This window comes from Homo sapiens, chromosome 11 (assembly GCF_000001405.40).
Source record: "Homo sapiens chromosome 11, GRCh38.p14 Primary Assembly".
Taxonomy (NCBI): Eukaryota; Metazoa; Chordata; class Mammalia; order Primates; family Hominidae; genus Homo; species Homo sapiens.
In genome coordinates, this window is record NC_000011.10 from 59,906,272 (window position 1) to 59,931,104 (window position 24,833).

Consider the following 24,833-nt stretch of genomic DNA (forward strand, 5'->3'; position numbering starts at 1 on the left):
AGATTTTCTCCCACTCTGTAGGTTGTCTGTTTACTCTGCTGACTGTTCCTTTTGCCGTGCAAAAGCTCTTTAGTTTAATTAGGTCCCAGCTATTTATCTATGTTTTTATTGTATTTGCTTTTTGGTTCTTGGTCATGAAATCCTTGCCTAAGCTCATGTCTAGAAGGATTTTTCAAATGTTATCTTCTAGAATTTTTAGTTTCAGGGCTTAGGTTTAAGCCTTTAATCCACCTTGAGTTGATTTTTGTATAAGGTGAGAGATGAGGATGCAGTTTCGTTCTTCTACATGTGGCATTTGTTGCAAAGGCTGTCCTTTCACCACTTTATGTTTTTGTTTGCTTTGTTGAAGATCAGTTGGCTGTAAGTATTTGGGTTTATTTCTGGGTTCTCTATTCTGTTCCATTGGTCTATGCGCCTATTTTCATACCAGTAACACACTGTTTTGGTGACTATGGCCTAATAGTATAGTTTGAAATCAGGTAATGTGATGTCTCCAGATTTGTTCTTTTTGGTTAGTCTTGCCTTGGCTATGCAGGCTCTTTTTTGGTTTCATATTAATTTTAGAATTGTTTTTTCTAGTTCTGTGAAGAATGAAGGTGGTATTTTGATGGGAATTGCATTCAATTTGTATATTGCTTTTGGCAGTATGGTCATTTTCACAGTATTGATTCTACCCATCCATGAGCAGGGGATGTGTTTCCATTTGTTTGTGTTGTCTATGATTTCTTTCAGCAGTGTTTTATAGTTTTCCTTGTAAAGGTCTTTCAGCACCTTGGTTAGGTATATTCATAAGTATTTTAATTTTTTTTGCAGCTATTGTAAAAGGGGTTGAGTTCTTGATTTGATTCTCCACTTGGTCGCTGTTGGTGTATAGAAGAGCTACTGATTTGTGTACATTAATCTTGTATCCAGAAACATTGCTGAATTCTTTTATCAGTTCTAGAAGCTTTCTGGAGAAGTCTTTAGGGTTTTCAAGGCAAACGACCATGTTGTCAGCAAACAGTGACAGTTTGACTTCCTCTTTACCAATTTGGATGCCCTTTATTTCTTTCTCTTGTCTGATTGCTCTGGCTAGGACTTCCAGAACTATGTTGAAGAGGAGTGGTGAGTGTGGACATTCTTGTCTTGTTCCAATTCTCAGAGGGAATGCTTTCAACTTTTCTCCATTCAGTATTGTTGGCTGTGGGTTTGTCATGGATGGCTTTTATTACATTAAGATATGTCCCTTGTATGCCAATTTTGCTAAGAGTTTTAATCCTAAAGCGATGCTGGATTTTGTCAAATGCTTTTTCTGCATCTATTGAGATGATCATGTGATTTTTGTTTTTAATTCTGTTTATGTGGTGTATGACATTTATTGACTTGCTTATGTTAAACCATCCCTGCAACCGTGGTATGAAACTGACTTGATCATTGTGAATTTTTTTTTGATATGTTGTTGAATTCAGTTAGCTAGTATTTTGTTAAGGATTTTAGCACCTATGTTCATCAAGGATATCAGTCTGTAGCTTTATATTTTTGTTATGTCCTTCCCTGGTTTTGGGATTAGGGTGTTGCTGGCTTCATAGAATGAGTTAGGGTGGGTTTCTTCTTTCTCCATATTGTGGAGTAGTGTCAAAAGGATTGGTACCAATTCTTCTTTGAATGTCTGGTAGAATTCTGCTGTGAATCCATCTTGTCCCGGACATTTTTTGTTGGTAATTTTTAAATTACCATTTCAATCTTGCTGCTTATTATTGGTCGGTTCCCGGTATGTAATTCTTCCTGATTTAAGCTAGAAGGGTTGTAGTTTTCCAGGAATTTATTCATGTCTTCTAGGTTTTCTAGTTTATATGTGTAAAGGTGTTCATAGTAGCCTTGAATGATCTTTTGTATTTCAGTGGTGTCAGTTATAATATCTCCTGTTTAATTTCTTAGTGAGGTTATTTGGATTTTCTCTCTTCTTTTCTTGGTTAATCTTGCTAATAGTCTATCAGTTTTATTTATCTTTTCAAAGAAGCAGCTTTTTGTTTCATTTCTCTTCTGTATTGCTTTTTTTTGTTCCAATTACTTTTAGTTCTGCTCTGATCTTGGTTAATTCCTTTCTTCTGCTGTTATTAGTCTGGTTTGGGTTTGGTTTGTTCTTGTTTCTCTAGTCCCTTGAGGTGTGACCTTAGAATGTCAGTTTGTGTTCTTTCAGTCTTTTTGATGTAGGTTTTTCGGGCTATGAACTTCCCTCTTAGCACCGCCTTTGCTGTATCCCAGAGGTTTTGGTAGGTTGTGTCATTATTGTCATTCAGTTCGAAGAATTTTTAAATTTCCATCTTGATTTCATTTTTGACCCAATGTTCATTCAGGAGCAAGTTATTTAATTCCCTTGTATTGGCATGGTTTTGAAGATTCCTTTTGGAGTTGATTTCCAGTTTTATTCCACTCTGGTCTGAGAGAATGCTTGATATAACTTCAAACGTTTTAAATTTATTGAAGCTTGTTTTATGGACTATCACATGGTCTATTTTGGAGAAAGGTCCATGCACTGTTGGATAGAATGTGTATTCTGCAGTTGTTGAATGAAATGTTCTGTATATATCTGTTAAGTCTATTTGTTCCAAGGTATAGTATAAATCCATCGTTTCTTCGTTCACCTTCTATGTTGATGATCTGTCTAGTGCTGTCAGTGGAGTATTGAGGTTCCCCCACTATTATTGTGTTACTGTCTGTGTCATTTTTTAGGTCTTTTAGCAATTGTTTTATAATTTGGGAGCTCCAGTGTTAGGTGCATATATGTTTAGGATTGTGGTATTTTCCTGTTGGACAAGGCCTCTTACCATTATATAATGTCCCTGTTTGTCTCTTTTAACAGCTGTTGCTTTAAATTTTGTTTTATCTGATATAAGAATAGCTACTCCTGCTCTGCCTTTGGTGTCCATTTGCATGAAATGCCTTTTTCCACCCCTTTACTTTAAGTTTTTGCAAGTCCTTATGTGTTAGGTGAGTCTCCTGAAGGCAGCAGATAGTTTATTGGTGAATTCTTATCCATTCTGCAGTTCTGTTTCTTTCATGTGGAGTACTTAGGCCATTTACATTCTATGTTAATATTGAAATGTGAGGTACCCTTGCATTCATCTTGCTATTCGTTGCCTGTGTACGTTGTTTTTGTTTGTTTGTGTTTTTTAACTTGTATTTTTGTTTTATAGGTCCTGTGTGATTTATGCTTTAAAAAGGTTCTGTTTTGATGTGTTTCTAGGATTTGTTTCAAGATTTAGAGCTCTTTTTAGCAATTCTTGTAGTGGTGGCTTGGTAGTGGCAAATTCCCTCAGCGTTTGTTTGTCTGAGAACGATATCTTCCCTTCATATATGATGCTTAGTTTCGGTGGATACAAAATTCTTGGCTGATGATTGTTTTGTTTGAGGAGGCTGAAGGTAGGGCCTCAATCCCTTCTAGCTTGTGGGGTTTCCTCTCACAAATCTGCTCTTAATCGTGTAGGTTTTCCTTTATAGGTTACCTGGTGCTTCTGTCTCACAGCTCTTAAAATTCTTTCCTTCATCTCAACTTTGGATAAGCTGATGACAATGTGTCCAGCCAGGCAATGATCTTTTTGAGATGAATTTCCCAGGTGTTCTTTGTGCTTCTTGTATTTGGATATCTAGGTCTCTAGCAAGGCTGGGGAAGTTTTCCTCAATTATTCCCCCAAATCTGTTTTCTAAGCTTTTAGAATTCTTTTCTTCCTCAGGAACACTGATTATTCTTAGGTTTGGTCGTTTAACGTAGTCCTAGACTTCTTGGAGGCTTTGTTGATATTTTCTTATTCTTTTTTCTTTGTCTCTGTTGGATTGGATTAATTTGAAGACATTGTCTTTGAGCTCTGAATTGCTTTCTTCTACTTGTTCAATTCTATTGCTGAGACTTTCCAGAGCATTTTGCATTTCTAAAAGTGTGTCCAAACTTTCCTGAATATTTGATTGTGTTTTCTTTAAGCTATCTATTTACTTGAATATTTCTCCCTTCACTTTTGTATTTTTTTTTTTGGTTTCCTTGCACTGGGCTTCACCCTTCTCTGGTGCCTCCCTGATTAGCTTAATAACTAACCTTCTGAATTCTTTTTCAAGTGAATCAGGGATTTCTTCTTGGTTTGAATCCATTGCTAGTAAAATGGTACGATTTTTGGGGGGTGTTAAAGAGCCTTATTTTGTCATATTACCAGGGTTGTGGTTCCTTCTCATTTGGGTAGGTTGTGCCAGAGGGAAGGTCTAGGGCTGAAGGCTGTTGTTCAGATTCTGTTGCCCCACCGGGTGTTCCCTTGATGTAGTACTCTCCCCTTTTTCCTATGAATGTGGCTTCCTGTGAGCTGAACTGCTGTGATTGATTCTTGTCTCTCCTGGGTCTAGCCACCCAGCAAATCTACCCAGATCCGGGCTGGTACTGGGGGTTGTCTGCACAGAGTCCTGTGAGGTGAACCATCTATGGGCTCTCAGCTGTGGATACCAGTGCAGTATTTGGAGTGTCTCCTGGGTCCTGCAGGAGCAGTTGCTTCTTTCAGAGGGTCTGTGGGTCCTCTCAAGATTGCCGGTTTGTTCTTGCTGTTGATCTGGAGCTTAAATTCACAATGTGAGCCTCCGCACGCTGCTCTGTCCAGAGCTGCAATCTAGTCCTGCCTCCTATTTATTTTTAATGGACAAAAATTGTATATATTTGTGGTATACAAAGTGATGTTTTGATATATGTATACATTGTAGAATGGCTAAATTGAGTTAATTAACATATTCTTAGTTCCACATACTAACCTTTATTGTAGTCATAAAATTTAAAATCTTCTTTCTAAAATTTCAAGTAGATAGGAGGAATAATTTCAAGAGATATATTGTACAACATGGTGACTACAGTTAATAACAATGTATTGTATTTTGAAAATCACTGAGAGTAGATTTTAAATGTGTTTTGCTGCAAAGCATAAGTGTATAAGGAAATGTGTATGAGGTATGTTAATTAGCTCAGTGTAGTCATTCCATATTTTAGGTTGATGCATAAGTAATTGCGTTTTTTTTTCTTTGCCATTGAAAGTAATGGCAAAACACTGCAATTACTTTTGCACCAAACTAATACATATTTTAGGCACGTTTGGGGTGGTGTGGTCACAGACTACATATATGTTTTAAAACATCATGTTGTATATGATAAACATGTACAATATTTAGTTGTCAAAAAAGAAAATATAGTAAAATGCTCAGCAATTTTCAAGTATACAATACCTTGTTATTAATAATTATATAATTGTATACAATTTTCAAGTACGCAGTACATTGTGACATTGTTATAGTCACCATGTTGTACAATAGATCTCCTGAACTTATTCCTCTTGTCAAACTGAAATTTTGTATCCTTTGACCAACATCTCCCCAGTCCCTTTCCTCCCACCGTTGCCCCATGGAAACCATTACTCTACACTTTGCTTCTATGAGTTTGACTTTTTAAGATTCTATATATAAATAAAATCATGCAGTTTTGTCTTTTTTAATTTTACTTTTAATTGGTAAATATATATATTTGTGGGGTACAATGTGATGTTTTGATACCTGTATACATTATGGAATGATATAATCAGGCTAATAAACATATCTATCACATACTTATCATTTCTTTGATAAGAAATGGTGAGAACATTTAAAATCTGATATTTTAGTAACTTTGAAATATAGAATACGTTATTATTAACTACAGTCACTATGCTGTGCAAATGGAACACCTGAACTTACTCTTCCTAGCTGAATTTTGTACCCCTTGACTAATATATCTCCCCTTTCCCTGTGTCCCTCCCCACAAGTCTGGTAACCACTATTCTATTTCTATGAGTTGGCATACTGACCTTTCTGGAGGGCTCACCTTAAATTTGAAATAATGACTTCAAGTGCATTATCAAAGAACTCCATCAATGAAGACAAAACTCTATTGCATCCCTAAACTGATCCCACAAAGGGCCCTGTGAGTCAGTTGACCTGTGCATGACATCCTCTCAGGTATTTCCAAAGTCCCCAAGAAGGCTTGAGATTCATGGGCACTGAAAGCAGCTATTTAATTGTATGGGATGCACATTTACTTTTTAGTACCAAAGTTGTCATAAAATGTTATTTTTCTAGAGGCTAAGTGATAGTGCTGTAAAAGTTTTCTTTTGGTGTGTGCTTGCTGTAGGAGGTAATTTCTTATACTTGAACAATGTGACAGGCATAAAATCATGTGAGGCATCCCAAACCTTAACCTCCTTCTGTTTCCTGAACAGTCTTTGCTGCGAGCCTTAGCAAGATGAAGACCTCTATGTGGTTAAAAGGGTGGATTCTTTTTCTTTCCTTGGTTTTTACTACTTCTGGGCTATTGTCAGGTAGATGAGAAACTTGGGTTTATGGTGGTTTGATTGCATGACTGCCAAGGGATGGGGTTTCTAGTCTGGTGTTATTGACAGGATCATTTGTTGCTAATATCCAAGACCAGAGGGTCTCAGTCTGACCAGTTAACTGGTTAATGTCTTTGGAAAACGGTGTTTTTTTCAAGTTCATCACTCTATTTGGTTTATGCCTCATCCTCCTTTTTAACACCTTCCTGAATTCTTTTGAACTATGTTCTTAGCCCATCTCCTTTCCTTGGTTTTCCATTTTAGTGCTCTGATCAAACTTCTACTTTAAATCTTCCTCCCTTTGACACCAAATGTCTGACTGTTCCTCTAAGGCCGTCACAATATTTTGTGATTTGGTGAGGTGTGAGTGATCTCTCTCAGGTAGCTAAAGAAACTCTGGCTAAAGAGAGAACTCAGGTGCCATCAGCATGTTTTCAACCCTTCCTTTGAACCTGGAAAATTATTTTTTTAGGAGACTGCCATGGACTAATTGGAGGATTCATTAATTACTTCCTTTTTGCACTCTCAGACTCATTCAGAAAATACTTGAGTACTCGTGACATGTCAGGTACCATGCTCAGTGCTTGGAATTCAAAAAGGTGTGGCTCCTGTCTTAGGGGAGTTTGCAGTCTAGTAGGGGAGACAGACATTAATTGAATCATCCATATGTAAACTGCTAAGGATCAGAGTACAGGGAAATGTGGACACTTCAACAGGAGGCTTGACCCACTCTGGAAGGACCATTCTCCTTGGGAAATGATGAGTTAAGATCTTCAGCAAAAGCGAGAGTTGAGTTGGTTGATGTGCAGGGGAGTGGATGGGAGGCAAGTGCCAGGCAGTGGGAACAGAAGGTACAAGAGCCCTGAGGTGGGGATGTATGTGAGGTGGTGCAAGATAAAGAGTATGGTGGGATCATGGAGAGAAAGGGGAGCTGCCATGAGATGAGACTTGCTTAGTAGGCAGTGCAGAGAGGGCTGGAGGTGGCAGTGGCGTAAAGACAGGCCATTCTCCTTTAACCTACTTTTTTTTTTCTTTTTCTGTGGTAGAGTCTTGCTCTGTCGTGCCCAGGCTAGAGTGCAGTGGTGCGATCTGGGCTCACTGCAACCTCCGCCTCCTGGGTTCAAGTGATTCTTCCATCTCAGCCTCCTGAGTGGCTGGGATTACAGGTGCCTGTCACCACACCTGGCTAATTTTTTTGTACTTTTATTAGAGACTGGGTTTCACCATGTTGGCCAGGCTGGTCTTGAACTCCTGCCTCAGGTGATCCATCCACCTCGGCCTCCTAAAATGCTGGGATTACAAGCATGAGCCACCTTGCCAGGCACCTTTAGCTTTTGACAATGGTGCACCTTGTCAATAACAATGACACATTTGCCTAGTGTCTGGCCCACTAATTGTGATTTTGTGATCCTATTGCTAGTGTTCCTCAAAGTGTGGTCAGTGGAGCATCTAGTTTGAGTGGTGGCAGAGAATACTTACAGGCCATAAAAAGGAGAAAACAAACAAACAAACTCAGGTTGTAGAACCAGGAGAAATAACAGGATAAACTCTAAAAGAATTGCCTAATTGGCATCTCCACTGAGAAGTAGCAGGCATCTTAAGAATTTGAGAGCTGAGGCCAGGCGTGGTGGCTCACGCCTGTAATCCCAGCCTTTGGGAGGCCACGGCGGGCAGATCACTCAAGGTCAAAAGATCGAGACAATCCTGGCCAACATGGTGAAACCCTGTCTCTACTAAAAATGCAAAAATTAACTGGATGTGGTGGCACACACCTGTAGTCCCAGCTACTCAGGAGGCTGAGGCAGCAGAATCGCTTGAACCCAGGAGGCGGAGGTTGCAGTGAACCGAGATCACGCCACTGCACTTTAGCCTGGCGTCAGAGCAAGACTCTGTCTCAAAAAAAAAAGTTCAGAACTGACTGAATTTATAATTTTGTCCCCAGCCCCAGCCTGCTCCCCTCCTGGATCCCCTCCTGGCTCCCCTCCTGTATCTCAGTACACGGCAGCTGTTTTCATCTCTACACCATATTCAGTCTGGCAGAAAGTTCTGTGGCTTCTACCACTACTAACTTGTGACAGGCTGCTGTATTTCTCAGATAATTGCAGCTGTTGCCTAACTGGTATTTTTTCCTTGGTCCTTGAGAATCTATTAAATATTCTCAAGACAGCAGCCAGAGCCATTCTGTTAATACCCAGTGTATTTATTTTCCAAATCTGCTGTAACAAAGCACCACAAATTGGGGGGCTTAAAACAACACAGGGTGCTTAAAAAAACTGGGGGGCTTATTCTTTCACAGTTCTGAAGGCTAGAAGTCCAAAATAAAGGTGTCAGCAGGGCCATGATTCCCCTGAGAATCTTAGCAGAGTCCTTTCTTCCTTCTTCCTAATTTCCAATTGTTCCTCCAATCCTTGGCTTCCTTACCCTGCAGCCATATCACTGCAATCTCTGCCACTTATCACATAGTGCTTTCCTTTGTGTGTCTGCGTCTTCATGAGGCTGTGCTCCTTCTTCTTATAAGGGCATCAGTTACATTGGATTAAGTGCCCACCCTACTCCTGCATGACCTCATCTTAACTAATCACATAGGCAATGACCCTATTTCCAAACAAGGTCATATTCTAAAGTACTAGGGGTTAGGACTTCAATATATCTTTTTGGGAGACACAATTCAATCTATAATACCAAGTTAGATCATGGCATCCTCTGCAGAAGACCCCTCATTCTATATCTATCCAGGTCACAGTAAAAGTCATATGGTCTTTATTATGGCCCACAAAGCCCTAGCACTCTGTATTGTCTCCCAGGGAAGAGGGCTAGAAAGTGCCATCCCTTATCTACCTTGCTGCTCCATCCTCCTAACTCAACTTTAATTACCTGATGTCCTTGCCATTCATTGAATGCATGCTCCTGCCTTAGAACCTTTGCATCTGATGTTCCTTCTGCCTGGAATTCTCCTTGGCCCTCTGTATTAGTCTGTTTTCATGCTGCTGATAAATACATACCTGAGACTGGGCAATTTACAAAAGAAAGAGGTTTAATAGACTTACAGTTCCACGTGTGTGGGGAGGCCTCACAATCATGTCAGAATGTGAAAGGCACATCGTTTTTTTTTTTTTTTTTTGAGATGGAGTCTCGCTCTGTCCCCCAGGCTGGAGTGCAGTGGCGCGATCTCGGCTCACTGCAAGCTCCGCCTCCCGGGTTCACGCCATTCTCCTGCTTCAGCCTCCTGAGTAGCTGGGACTACAGGCGCCCGCCACCACACCCGGCTAAGTTTTTTTGTATTTTTTAGTAGAGATGGGGTTTCACCGTGTTAGCCAGGATGGTCTCGATCTCCTGACCTTGTGATCCACCCGCCTCGGCTTCCCAAAGTGCTGGGATTACAGGCTTGAGCCACCGCGCTCGGCCAAGGCACATCTAACATGGCAGCAGACAAGAGTTTGTGCAGGAAACTCCCGTTTCTAAAACCATCAGATCTCATGAGTCTTATTTACTATAATGAGAACAGCATGAGAAAGACCCTCTCCCATGATTCACTTACCTCCCACCAGGTTCCTTCCATGACACTTGGAAATTCTGGGAGTTACAATTCAAGATGAGATTTGGGTGGGGACACAGCCAAACCATATCATTCCACCCCTGGGCCCTCCCAAATCTCATGTCCTCACATTTCAAAACCAATCATGCCTTCCCTACAGTCCTCCAAAGTCTTATCTCATTTCAGTATTAACTCAAAAGTCCACAGTCCAAAGTCTCATTTGAGACAAGGCAAGCCCCTTCTGCCTATGATCCTGTAAAATCTAAAGCAAGTTAGTTACTTCCTAGATACAATGGGGGTACAGGCATTGGGTAAATACAGTCATTCCAAATGGGAGAAATTGGCCAAGACAAAGGAGATATAGGCCCCACGCAAGTCCCAAATCCAACAGGGCAGTCAAATCTTAAAGCTCCAAAATGATCTCCTTTGACTCTATGTCTCAAATCCAGGTCACATTGATGCAAGAGGTGGGCTCCCACAGTATTGGGCAGCTCTGCCTCTGTGGCTTTGCAGGGTACAGCCTCCCTCCTGGCTGCTTTCATGGGCTGGCGTTGAGTATCTGTGGCTTTTCCAGGTACACAGTGCAAGCTGTTGGTGGATCTAACATTCTGGGATCTGTAGGATGGTGGCCTTCTTCTCACAGCTCCACTAGGTGTTGCCCCAGTAGGGACTCTGTGTGGGGGCTCTGACCCCACATTTCCCTTCTGCACTGCCCTAGCAGATGTTCTCTATGAAGACCCTGCTTCTGCAGCAAACTTTTGCCTGGGTAACTAGATGTTTCCACACATCTTCTGAAATGTAGGTGGAAGTTTCCAAATCCCAGTCCTTGACTTCTGTGCACTCACAGGCTCAACACCACATGGAAGCTGCCAAGGCTTGGGGCTTGCATCCTCTGAAGCCATGCCAAAACTCTGCATTCAGCCATGGCTGGAGTGGCTGGGATGCAGGGCACCAAGTCCCTAAACTGCACAGAGCATGGGAACCCTGGGCCCCCAGCCCACAAAACCACTTTTTCCTCCTAGGCCACTGGGCCTGTTATGGCAGGGGCTGTGGTGAAAACCTCTGATATGCCCTAGAGACATTTTCCACATTGTCTTGGGGATTAACACTTGGCTCCTCATTAATTATACATATTTCTGCAGCCGGCTTGAATTTCTCCTCAGAAAATGGGATTTTCTTTTCTATCACATTGTAAGGCTGCAAATTTTCCAAACTTTTATGCTGTGCTTCTGTTATAAAACTGAATGCCTTTAACAGTATGCAAGTCATCTCTTGAATGTTTTGCTGCTAGAAATTTCTTCTGCCAGATACCCTAAATCATCTCTTTCAAGTTCAAAGTTCCACGAATCTCTAGAGCAGGGGCAAAATGCTGCCAGTCTCTTTGCTAAAATGTTAAGAGTCACCTTTGCTCCAGAGTCACCTTTGCTCCAGTTCTCAACAAGTTCCTCATCTCCATCTGAGATCACCTCAGCCTGGAATTCCTTGTCCATATCATTATCAGTATTTTGGTCAAAGCCATTCAGCAAGACTCTAGGGAGTTCCAAACGTTCCCACATTTTCCTGTCTTCTGAGCCCTCCAAACTGTTCCAACCTCTGCCTGTTGCCCAGTTCCAAAGTTGCTTCCACATTTTCAGGTATCTTTTCAGCAGTGCCCCACTCTACTGGTACCAATTAACTGTATAAGCCCATTTCATGCTGCTGATAAAGACATGCCCCAAGACTGGGCAATGTACAAAAGAAAGAGGTTTAATAGACTTACAGTTCCACATGGCTGGGGAGGCCTCACAATCATTGTGGAAGGTGAAAGGCAGGTCTCACATGGTGGCAGGCAAGAGAAGAGATCTTGTGTGGGGAAACTCCCATTTTTAAAACCATCAAATCGCGTGAGACTTATTCACTATCACAAGAACAGCACAGGAAAGACCTGCCCCCATGATTCACTTACCTCTCACCAGGTTCCTCCCACAACATGTGGGAATTACAGTACAAGATAAGATTTGGGTGGGGACACAGCCAACCCATGTCACACCTTTTCCTCTATGATCAGTTCCTTTGACAACTAAAGAACTCTGCTTAAATGAGGCCTTCCCTGACTCAAAAAATTACTTAAAATCCTATCCTCTGTCCTACATTAAACTTTTTACCTGCCTTATTCTTTCACAGTATTTATCACCATCTAATGTGATATATAATTTGCTTATTTTTTATTTTCTGTATTCTTTCCTTATAATGTCACCTACATGAGGTTTCCAGTGCATAGAAGAGAACTGGCACATGATATATTTCATTTACTCTGACATGGACAGTTTTTTACACAGTAAAAAAATCAGAATTCTAGAAAGTTTATAATCAGCTATATATAATGATTGGTCAGTGGACAGGAATGCTGTAGCTGTCATCATTTGCACATGGAGAACTTGGTCTGAAACTTTCTGTTGGCGCCTCTTGGTAAGGTCAGAGAGTGCTGGCATAAAAATTTGAGAAATAAGTACCACCAATTGGCATACAATCTGGAGAGAAGAATGAAGCATTCTTTTAAGAGATATTGCATCACCAATGGTGGTGATGGCTCAAAGAGAGATATATTTGTGGGGAAACAGGAACATTGATGACTGCGATCCAAGAAGTGATTTAGAAGAGTGAGACTCACTGTAAAAATATTTTAGGGTTACTTCAACCAATTAATTTTGTTTATACTTGCTTTTTGTTACACTTGCTTTTGTATACAGCACAAGAGTGATATGATTAAAGATGTCCATAAGAGCTCTTTCAATTTTTATAAAATTCAAAGACTAAGTAGTAAAATGTGCCTGATTCATTGGTAGTTTCTTTAATCCTAAAGATATAAAGTTTCCTTAATCTTCGTATGAAAAATAGTGGTATAGTTAAAGCTTAGATTCAATGAAAAATGGGAGGAGATGCTCAAATATTTGTTAGATGAGTGAATAAAAATTCACCCCAGACTTTTTTTTTCCTTCCAAAGGGCCCTGTGGCTTCCTTCCTCTAAACCCATTAAACAGTGCCATCTGCAGGGAAGGCAGCTCATGACATCATGTTTAAATATTAGAAGAACAATAACAAGGTAAAAAAATTGGCAATGCCACCATTCAGCTCTCTGTGAGTATCTCTTAAAACTAGAAGTTTATTCTGACCCATCCATGAGTCAGATCTAAGATAAGCAGTTATTATCTTTAGGCAAGACTGAGTCGGCACATCAGATAGATAAAGGAAAGAGAGAGAAAGAGTTAAAATGTTTGTGCAGCCTATATTTTTCTGGCTAACAGCCACTAGGAAAAGCTGGATTGAGAAAGACCTACATTAACTTTCTTGTGTTCTAGTAACTAAACTTTTAGGCAAAGCCTAAGACTGTCCTGTTTAAACGAACTGTTTCTATCTAATAAGAAATTATAATGATATGGTATGATGGCAAAGCTATTTTAGAGGCCTGGACTCTCCATTAACCACAGCAGTTTAGCAGAGAACAAGGTCTCTGCCACAATCCATTATCCTAAATTAGCACGTGGGTGTTGGAGATGGGGGATGGCATGACAGCTCCATATGAGTATTAGGGGTTAATAAATGGAAAAGGCTGCTGCTGCTAAATCCAGCCCTATAATTACATTTTGGTCTCTGGGTCAGTTCCAGGTCACTAGCATCTCAACTAGCCTAAAACCCATATAATGCTTATTTGTAATTTTAATTTTTAGTTCCGTATTAATGGCATTTTATATGCCCCCAGTCATAATGGAACAAGAGTGAATTTGGGCATCAGAGATGCTGATTTTACTACTGATGGAATCTCAGGCCTACGTGCTGTCTGAATGCTCATGCAGTGGTTGTAGATACTGTACTTTACCTTTTAGATGGTGAGGGTGTTGAAAAGGTATTTTTTTTTCATTTCCATGTAGGTGCTTTTGTGACCATAAAATCAGTTTTACAATTAAAGTGATGCCTACATTCCTGCAGTGCATCTCTTTTCAAGAGCTTTGTTTAATAATCTCTACATGCAATAAAGGAATTGCATCTCTCTCTTTTGTGCCTCTCATGGACTTTCTTCCTTCCCCCGGTGCCCTCTGCTGCATTCTTCCTTCTTTGACTGCCAGTCCTGGTTTCTGACAATGTAACCTTGGCTGGAACTTAGGTGATGATTTTGCTTTCCTTGTTTGGTTGAGTAAACTTGTAACCCCAGGAACATGTGGAAAAAAATAGGTATAAAGTGTGCATGTTGTGTTTATAGGGATGTGGTGAAACATTTTCCAGTCACTATGCTGCTTTATGGGTGCTGTGACTTAAGATGCTTAAGGGGATTTGAGCTACTAAATATCTAAGTTTCAGTTTGTATTTATGAGTGTGATTTAAGTCATTGGGAGAGTTTATTCTAATTAGTAAGTCTGCTTTGTTAGAAATTTGAAACATTTGAGAGAATCAGATATATTAAATATGTAACTATACTTAAAATATCTGAGGATATTGACATTAAATTGCATCAGATGAGTAGGGAAGACATCATTTGTAAACTTGGATTAATTGTACATTAATCAAAGAAAAAGTAAAAAAAGTAATGATTTTAATACTTGAAAAAATAGGATTTATAGGTTGAGATACTTTAAAAAGTTTTACATATGTTTCATCAATATAATACTTATTAGAACAAAATAAAATTAAAATTTTCTTGCACAGAAATGCCTTTAAGATAGTAAAATGTCAGTAACAAATATCACATACTTAAAATTTAGTTCCATAGAAATATGTGATCTGGGAAACTGCAGTTTCTTAACAAGGCTGTGCTTTCTTGGAGAAAATGTATGGAAACAGGACATTGATAGCTAGGAACACCTTCTCCAAAAATGACTGGGTATCTTATGATGCCTTTGGGAAAAGGCATCTACTGAGGTGGTCATATGATTATTCTTTTTTATTCGGTTTATATTCACTAGAAATTGTAATTTTCACTGGATATTGAAGCCTAGATTGTTATTTTTTAAGTCAGCATTTTGAACATGAATTTTTGTCTACTGTTCTCCCTATTTCCTTCTGATACATCAGCCTTCATTCTTATTACTCTCCAATTGTAATGTGTCTATATTAGTCTGTTCTCACACTACTATAAATACATATCTGAAACTGGTTACTTATAAAGAAAAGAAGTTCTGCAGGCAGTACAGGAAATATGGCTGGGAGGCATCAGGAAACTTACAATCATGGCAGAAGGCGAAGGGGAAGCAAGCATGTCTTACATGGTGGGAGCAGGAGAAAGAAAGAGTGAAGGGGGAGGTGCTACACACCTTTAAACAACCAGATCTTGTGAGAACTCACTCACTATCATGAAAGCAGCAAGGGGGAAATACATTACCATGATTGAATCACCTCCCCACCAGGCCCCTCCTCCAGCACTGGGGATTACAATTTGACATGAGTTTGGGAGGGCCACAAATCCAAGCCATATCAGTGTCTTTTTAAAAAAAGCTTGGGAATCTTTTTATATTTCTTGTTTGCAGCAGGAAAATTGTCTTTGCACTGGCACTTTAGTTGCACCTTGTATAGGCATTGCATTTCTCCATCAGGTGGGCAGCTTCTGGATGGTCTGGTTTATGATATGACCTGTGGAACTCTTGATCATGTGTCCTGCCCTGCACTTCTTGTTATAAATGAGTCCATTGGTCTGGCATGATGTTATCTGGTATCATGCTGGTGGTGAATTAAATACTCTAAGCCCTTGGATAGTAGTGTTGACTAAGGCCCTGCAGACAAACCTATACCTGGTAGGCATATGATGTGGTCAAATTGTCACCAAGTTGCTGATTGGTCTCTTCCAGTGATATGTGATCTCAGGGACTTAGGGTTATTGTCAGGTTGGACATTTGGTAACAGCGGTAACTCGATTAGTTTTGTTAAGTCAGAACCCATGCTATTAAGCCAGATATAGCCTCCATCCTTGCCACCACAGCTATTCTGTTTGGGTTCTCTTGTGCTAACAATGGCATGGCTAATGACAGAAACTGGCCAATGTCAACTGGCCAAGTCATTTTGTCCACCTATTTGTATAGAAATTCTTCCATGGTGGATGCTCCTTGGTGGATATTAACAAGGGTTATGCTTTCATCTTCATGGTGGGAGATGCAAGACACAATTATTTGTCCTTTACAGGAAATGTCCCAGCATGTCCCAGACCACCGGACACAAAAATTTCAATCTGTTTGGGCCTCTGAAATTTTATAGGGTTTATCTCCTCTCTTTGGAACTCAGGTGTCTTACCAATTCTCCCAATGTACCAGCTACTTCTTGCTTATCCAGCTCAGTTAGTACAATATTGTCAGTATAGTGTGCCACTGTGATATTCCTTGATATGTTCACATGGCCCAGGAATCTTTGGAATATATTATGGGAGGGGGTAGGAGTGTTAATATATCTTTGAGATAACACTATACATGTATAGTGTTGTCTGTTCCAAGTAAATGCAGTTTCTGATTGACCAGATCCAGGCAGCAGCTGCATACTGTGTCCTTGAGTTTGGGGTATCATCTCTAGCAGAAATACTACCCTTGGCACAGAGCATTTAAGAAGGACTGCAGGTTTCAGGTGGGAACTTGTGAGTGTTAGAGCTATGGCTCCAGAAAGGTTTAATTCTTGCTTCAGCACTGGGAACTGAGAAAATGGGTAACCAAAGTATCACTCGATTAGAATCAGGGACAGTAACTAAACTGATAAATGCTTTTTATGAGCATGCAAATTTCTATTTCATACCAACATCCCAACCTAAAAGTTTCCACCAGGCAGATTTGTTTGGAGAGGCAGAGGAAGAGGAGGGAGAGTGGGTAGAGAGAGAGAGTGAGCTTTTACTTGGGCTCACTCTCTTTCTTTCCTCCTGTTATAGCTACACTACTCTGAATGTTGCCAATGCTCTTTCCAATTCCTTTCTTCCCCTTCTCTCTTAAACTCATTTCAATTGGACTTTCACTCCCACCCTGCACCCAAACTGCTTTTTATTAAAATCAGCAATTGCTCTTCACATTGCTTCAGCAATTACTCTCCACATTTGCTAAGTCCAGGGATTGCTTTGCAATCCTCATCTTGCTTTATCTATCAGTAGCACTTGTCTATTTTCACTACTAGTATTCTATCTTGACTTCCAGGCTGCCACACTTTCTTCATTTCCTCCAGTATAACCTCACCGACTTCTTCTTAGTGTTTGCTGGTTCCTGTTCATCTCCCTGACCCCTAACATTAGAAGGCCCCAGAGCTCAGCCTTTAACACTTAATCCAACTTTTACTAAATTATAGACTGTAATGATAGACATCTAATGAGATAAAATAAACTTTATTCATAAACATTGTCTTATATAAAGTTAAAAATGAAGAGAGTGCCTACTAAAAAGGGATTGTGAAAAGGTACCTGGCTATTGGGAGTAAGCCCCCAAAATCTGGCCATAAACTGGCCTCAAAACTGGCCATAAGTAAAATTTCTGCAGCACTGTAACATGTCCATAATGACCCTAATGCACAAGCTGGAAGGTTGTGGGTTTATGGGAATGAGGGCAAGGAACACCTGGCTTGCCCAGGGTGGAAAACTGCTTAAAGGCATTTTTAAGCCACAAACAAAAGCATGAGCAATCTGTGTCTTAAGGGCATGTTCCTGCTGCAATTAATTCAGCCCATCCCTTCATTTCCCATACGGGATACTTTTAGTTAACTTAAAGCTATAGAAACAATGCTAATGACTGGTTTGCTGTTAATAAATATGTGGGTAAATCTCTGTTTAGGGCTCTCAGCTATGAAGGCTGTGAGACCCCTGATTTCCCACTTCACACATCTATATTTCTTTGTGAGTGTCTTTAATTCCTCTAGCGCCACTGGGTTAGGGTCTCCCTGACTAAGCTGGTCTCAGCAAGTGGCGCCTAACATGGGGCTCAAATCCAGGTCGAAGGGTCGCTGGAGTGATGGTTGGAACGGAAGACACCCAAGTACTCTTAAAGCAATCCCCATGGTGAGTAAGAAGGGGAGCTCAGAAGTATCAGGGTAACAATGGGACAGGTTTGGGGTCTGGTTTGTTCCACCTTGGAACTTTTTCACAGTGATGAGGAGAAAGAACAAGAGTATAGCAAAGTAACAGAAGAGGTTACAGAGCATGTTTATTTGCCAGCTAAAGCTAAAGTGGCAAAGGAAGGAGAGGTTCATCCCTACCCTTCTGCACCCCCTCATTATTATTTTGAAGAAAATGACCCCTGAGATCTTTCTTTTCTGGAGGACACTGGGCAAAAAGTAGTTGCCCCAGTGACTGTTTCAGCAGTGCCTCGAGCAACAGCTCTTAGTTCTATTCAGGCAGGAATTCAGCAAGCTAGACAAGAGGGTGACTTAGAGGCTTCACAGTTCCCTGTTAGAATACACCCCCCCAGATTAAGAGGGAAATATTACAGCTGCATTTGAGCCTTTTTCTTTTAAATTACTCAAAGAATTAAAACAAGCTATAAATGAGTATGGACCAGGTTCTCCTTTTGTAATGGGACTGTTAAAGAATGTTACTGTTTCCAGTCGGATGATTCCTACTGACTGGGATGCTCTTACTCAAGCTTGTCTAACTCCTGCTCAGTTCTTACAATTTAAAGCTTGGTGGGCAGATGAAGCTTCCATTCAGGCTGCTTGCAATGCCCAGGACCAACCTCAAATTAATATAACTGCAGACCAACTTTTGGGGGTTGGTGGCTGGGCTAGGTGCACAACTCATCATGCAGGATGATGCCATAGAACAGCTTAGAGGAGTGTGCATTAGAGCTTGGGAAAAAATCACTTCAGGTGGGGAACAATACCCTTCCTTTAGTGCTATAAAACAGGGACCTAGGGAACCACATGTTGATTTTATAGCTTGGTTACAGGAGTCTCTTGAAAAGATGATTGCAGATTTGGCTGCTCAGGATATAGTGTTGCAGTTATTAGCTTTTGACAATGCTAATCCCAATTGCCAGGCTGCTCTGTGACCTATTAGAGGGAAAGCACATTTAGTTGATTATATCAAGGCCTGTGATGGTATCGGAGGTAATCTGCATAAAGCTACTTTGTTGGCACAGGCAATGGCAGGACTGAGAGTGGATAAAGGAAATACTCCATTTCCTGGAGCTTGTTTTAACTGTGGGAAGCATGGTCATACTAAAAAAGAATGTAGAAAAAATCAGCAAGTCAGGCCGCCAGATAGGTGAAAAAAGAAAACTGTTGAGCCTGAGATATGTCCAAAATGTAAAAAAGGAAAACATTGAGCTAGTCAGTATCACTCTAAGTTTGATAAAGAAGGAACCCAATTCAGGAAACGCCATGAGGGGCCCATCCCAGGCCCCATTCTAAACCAGGGCATTTCCATCTCAGGCCATTCCCTCACCCCATAAAATGTCTGTCCCCTGCCACAGCCAGTAGTGCCACAATAGATTTATGCTGCACAAAAGCTGTGAGCCTTCTGCCTGGGGAACCCCTGCAAAAGGTCCCAACAGGAGTCTATGGACCCTTGCCAGCAGGGACTATAGGATTACTTTTAGGAAGGTCTAGTTTAAGTTTAAAAGGTGTACAAATACATACAGGAGTCATTGATTCAGATTGCAATGGGGAAATTCAAATTGTTGTATCTACTTCTGTTCCCTGGAAAGCAGAGCCAGGAGAGTGCATAGCACAGCTCCTGATTGTGCTGTATGTGGGAATGGGAAGAAGTGAAATTAAATGAACAGGAAGATTTGGAAGCACAAATAAACAAGGCAAAGCAGCTTATTGGGTAAATCAAATTACTGATAAATGTCCTACCTGGGAAATAACTATTCAAGGTAAGAAATTTAAAGGTTTGGTAGATACAGGAGTGGACATTTCAATCATTTCTCTACAGCACAGGCCGTCCATGTGGCCAATTCAGCCCACTCAATTTAACATAGTTGGAGTTGGTAAAGCTGCTAAGTATATCAAAGTGGTTATATTTTGCATTGTGAAGGGCCCAACAGACAACCTGGAACTATTCAACCAATTATAACTTCTGTACCTATAAATTTATGGGGAAGAGATTTATTACAACAATGGGGAGCACAAGTTCTAATTCCAGAACAATCATATAGCCCTTAAAGTCAAAATACAATGCATGAAATGAGGTATGTCCCTGCTATGGGACTAGAAAAAAATTTGCAAGGTTTGAAAGAACCGCTTCAAGCAGAAAAACAAAGTTCCCGCCAAAGATTAGGAAATAATTTTTGATGGTGGCCATTGTTAAGCCTCCAGAACCTATACCTTTAAAATGGTTAACAGATAAGCCAATTTGGATAGAATAATGGCTGCTAGGTAAAGAGAAATTGGAGGCTTTAGAGAAATTAGTTGCTGAACAATTAGAAAATGGGCACAGAGCTCCAACATTTTCCCCTTGGAATTCTCCAGTTTTTGTAATTAAGAAAAAAATCAGGTAAATGGAAAATGTTAACTGACTTAAGAGCCATCAATTCAGTTACACAACCTATGGGAGCATTACAGCCAGGATTGCCTTCTCCTGCTATAATTCCAAAAAATTGACCTTTAATAGTCATAGATTTAAAAGACTGTTTCTTTACTATCCCCTTGGCTGAGCAAGACTGTGAATGGTTTGCATTTACAATCCTGCAGTAAACAACCTGCAGCCTGTTAAGTGTTATCATTGGAAAGTGTTGCCGCAGGGCATGTCAAACAGCCCAACAATTTGCCAGACATACGTGGGGCAAGCAATTGAACCTACTTGTAAAAAATTTTCACAGTGTTACATTATTCGCTATATGGATGATATAATTTGTGCTACCCCCACTCGAGAAATATTACTCCAATGTTATGATCACTTGCAAAATTTGATTTCTCATGCTGGTTTAATTATAGCTCCTGACAAAATTCAGACTACTACTCCTTACTCCTACTTGAGCGCCTTAGTAAATGACACTACCATTGTGCCACATGAAGTAACCATACATAGGGATCAACTAAAAACATTAAATGACTTTCAGAAATTACTAGGGAATATTAATTGGATACGACCTGCTCTAGGCATTCCTACCTATGCCATGAGTAATCTGTTTTCTATCCTTAGAGGAAATCCTAGTCTCACTAGCCCTCGGCAATTAACAAAGGAGGCGGAGGCAGAGTTAAACAACTGATTGAGAAGTAAGTCTATAAAGCTCAGATAAATAGAATAGATCCAGAGAAGACTCTAGATTTGCTAATCTTTTCAACTCAGCGTTCACCTACTGGTGTTACTGTCCAAGAACAGGACTTAGTATACTGAGTGGCTTTTTCTTCCACATACTAATTCATATACTCTAACTCCTTATTTAGATCAAATCACTACTATGATAGGGATTGGGAGAACTCGGATTGTTAAATTACATGGATATGATCTTAGAAAAATTATTGTCCCTCTCATGAAAGCACAAATACAGCAAATTTTTATAAATAGTCTTACTTGGCAAAAAGTAGCTGACTTTGTGGGTATTCTCGATAACCATTTTCCTAAAACGAAGCTGTTTCTGTTTTTGAAATTAACTAATTGGATTCTCCCTAAAATAACTAAATTTAACCGAATTGAAGGTGCTGAGAATGTTTTTACAGATAGGTCTAGTAATGGTAAAGCTTCTTATTCTGGCTCAAAAAGTAAAGTTTTTCAGACGTCCTATACTTCAGCTCAAAAAGTGGAGCTTGTAGCTGTAATTGAGATATTGACTGCTTTTGATATGCCTATTAATGTGATTTCTGATTCTTCATATGTGGTTCATTCCACACAGTTAATTGAAAATGCTCAGTAACGATTTCATACAGATAAACAACTAATGACAAAAACAAAAAAGGAGGAAAAATAGGGATTACAGGACAGCCCATACACAATTGAATCAGCATTATTTGGCGAAAAGATCCAATAACAAAAAGTTGGGAAATAGGTAAAATAATAACTTGGAGTAAAGGTTATGCTTGTATTTCTCCAGGCCAAAATCAACAGCCGATTTTGATACCATCAGGACACCTAAAACCTTATCATGAGCCAGATGCCAAAGAAGAGATTCCAGGAGGTTCCCGAGGACCTCCCGGTTGCAGCCATGTTGAGACTGATGCTGAGGAGGACCCCAGCTGCCATGAGCAACGCCGTCAAACACAGCCACCCACCTGGGCACAGATCAAGAAGCTGTACAGATGACAGAAGAAAACCTGAGGAAAGCAGGACAACCAGTCACGATGAATAATTTAATGGTAGCTATGATAGTGGTTATCACCACTGCCATTAAATATTCCTTCATAAAGGGCTGGCAATAATGCCTGGATGCAGTCACTCTATGACACAGTTACACATGCTTTCTGATCTCAGTATTTACCATAATAAATCTGCTCCTATAATTGAGGCATACTGCCCTCAAAAACCTATTTGTAAACAGGATTGGACCCAGTTAAAAAAAAATGAACGTACTCGTTTAGGAAGATTGCTTTGCAGAACAGGCAGAGGTGCTGCACAATGATTCCTATGGAATCATTATTAATTGGTCCCCTAAGGGGATGTTTAGCTTGAATTGCACCTCTCAGTCTGCATGCCATGGTCACACTATGTTCAGATGATCTGAACAAAATGGTCAGATGATAGCTATAATAAAAAGTACAGCAAAAGTTCCTATTATCTGGAACCATGGTGATATAGTGGCATCTCAACCTCAAATGATATGGCCTGCTCTAGGAGCAAAACATAAGGATTTGTGGAAACTATTAAATGCTCTTAATAAGATCAAAATTTGGGAAAGAATAAAAAAGCATCTAGAAGGACACTCTACAAACTTGTTTTTGAGTATAACAAAATTTAAAAAAAAACAAATATTTAAAGCATCCCAGGCACACCTGACCTTAATGCCAGGAACTGGAGTGCTTAAAGGAGCTGCAGACAAATTAGCAGCTAGTTAACCCATTAAAATGGATAAAAACACTTAAAAGCTCTGTGATTACAATGATAATGGTGCTTTTAATCTATGTTGTTTGTCTTTATGTAGTCTGCAGATTCAGATCCCGACTCCTGCGAGAAGTAGCTCACCGTGACAAAGCTGCCCTTGCTTTTATCTCTTTGCAAATCAAAGAAGGGAGACATATTGGGAGGAAGCCTCTCAAAATCTGGCCATAAACTGGCCCCAAAGCTGGCCATACATAAAATCTCTGCAGCACTGTAACATGTCCATAATGGCCCTAACACCCAAGCTGGAAGGTTGTGGGTTTATGGAAATGAGGGCAAGGAACACCTGGCCCGCCCAGGGCAGAAAACCGCTTAAAGGCATTTTTAAGCCACAAACAAAAGCATGAGTGATCTGTGTCTTAAGGGCATGTTCCTGCTGCAATTAATTCGGCCCATCGCTTCATTTCCTGTAAGGGAGCTTTTAGTTAATTTAATATCTATAGGAACAATGCTAATGGCTGGTTTGCTGTTAATAAATATGTGTGTAAATCTCTGTTCAGGGCTCTCAGCTCTAAAGGCTGTGAGACCCCTGATTTCCCACTTCACACCTCTATATTTCTGTGTGTGTGTCTTTAATTCCTCTAGAACCACTGGGTTAGGGTCTCCCTGACTGAGCTGGTCTCAGCACCTGGCCATTTCATTTAAAAGTAAATTATTTTCTCAAGTGGAAGACAGCCTATGGAATAATTAGTCCCAACTTCCTGAAAATGACTAAGTAGCTCATCTGATGCATAATCCTTAAGCAGTGATGGAAATTGGTGTCAAGATACGATTTGGTCAGAGTTGTATCTTAAAAAAATATGCAATGATGTTTTGGAGGGAAAGAGAGGGAATTGGATAAAGGAGGCCAGTTAAGAATGTGTGGTTGAGATACCAGCAATGGTAAGAGAGTGTCATGTGGAAGAGCAGAGAGTCCAAGGATGACTTGGTAGGAAATTCTAGTAGCTGACAAGTAGGACAAAGTAGGAGGAGAAGAGGAAATACTAATTCTGAGAAACCTCAGAGAAAATAAGAGAAACTTGAGTGGAACACTCTCTTTCACTCAATGGTATTAGCTGGACCCAAGGGGAAAAAAAGCATGGGACTAAGAAGAATTATTGAGTTCCAAACCTTTAGGATGGAGCCATCAGGTTCTAGCAACTACAAGCCCCATGACTCATGGTCACTGAGAAACTACCCCTTCAAGGCACCATAAGTCAAGGTCCACTCTTATACCCTGCCGAGAACACATCCAAGTCAAGGAAACAAGTAGAAATAGCAGTCCTCCTAATACCTCCAGGGTCTTCATTATGCTGGATCATGGACTAAGACCTCCTGAGGCAACAGCAGTTGGAAGGTGCTAGGAAGCCTGAAGTGTTTTTAGAGCCAGTGCCACACTCAGATGTATTCAATTAATCTAATTTTCAGAGACAAGAGAGAAAATCTTTCACATATTGTCAACTCCACCCCCTAGCCTTTTCTTGATCACTTTGGTATAGGAAACCATAGTGTTATAATAAGGGGACACAACAAAGTGTTATGTAGTGCCCATAGAACTGTTATTTAAGCACTTTTGAAATGCTTAAATAGATGTCATTTGCTGGCCAATTTTTAATACTATATAAGCTCATTTAGAGATGCAACAAAACTTTGACCTGATGATGTACTTGTACTTCACTACCCACTGCTAGAGCCATTTTTCACAGTCTCTGAATTATATTGTATCTATCTCTATAATAATAACATATATTAATCTTACATAAACACCCCCCCTGTAAGATTAAGAGCTTACTTAGAGTCCTGGCATGGTGGCTCACGCGTGTAATCTCAGCATTTTGGGAGGCTGAGGCGGGCGGATCATGAGGTCAGGAGATCGAGACCATCCTGTCTAACATGGTGAAACCCCATCTCTACTAAAAATACAAAAAATTAGCCAAGCGTGGTGGTAGGTGCCTGTAGTCTCAGCTACTCGGGAGGCTGAGGTAGGAGAATGGCT

The 24,833-nt window shown here is 40.2% G+C and overlaps 1 annotated feature.

The window, feature by feature from the left end:
• Positions 15,198-15,358: a silencer, noted in NCBI's record as "fragment chr11:59688942-59689102 (GRCh37/hg19 assembly coordinates)". NCBI's record gives its function as "represses an EF-1alpha promoter that drives an FKBP-Casp9 reporter gene in an ReSE screen in K562 erythroleukemia cells {active_cell/tissue: K562}" and the evidence as "EXISTENCE:reporter gene assay evidence [ECO:0000049][PMID:32094911]".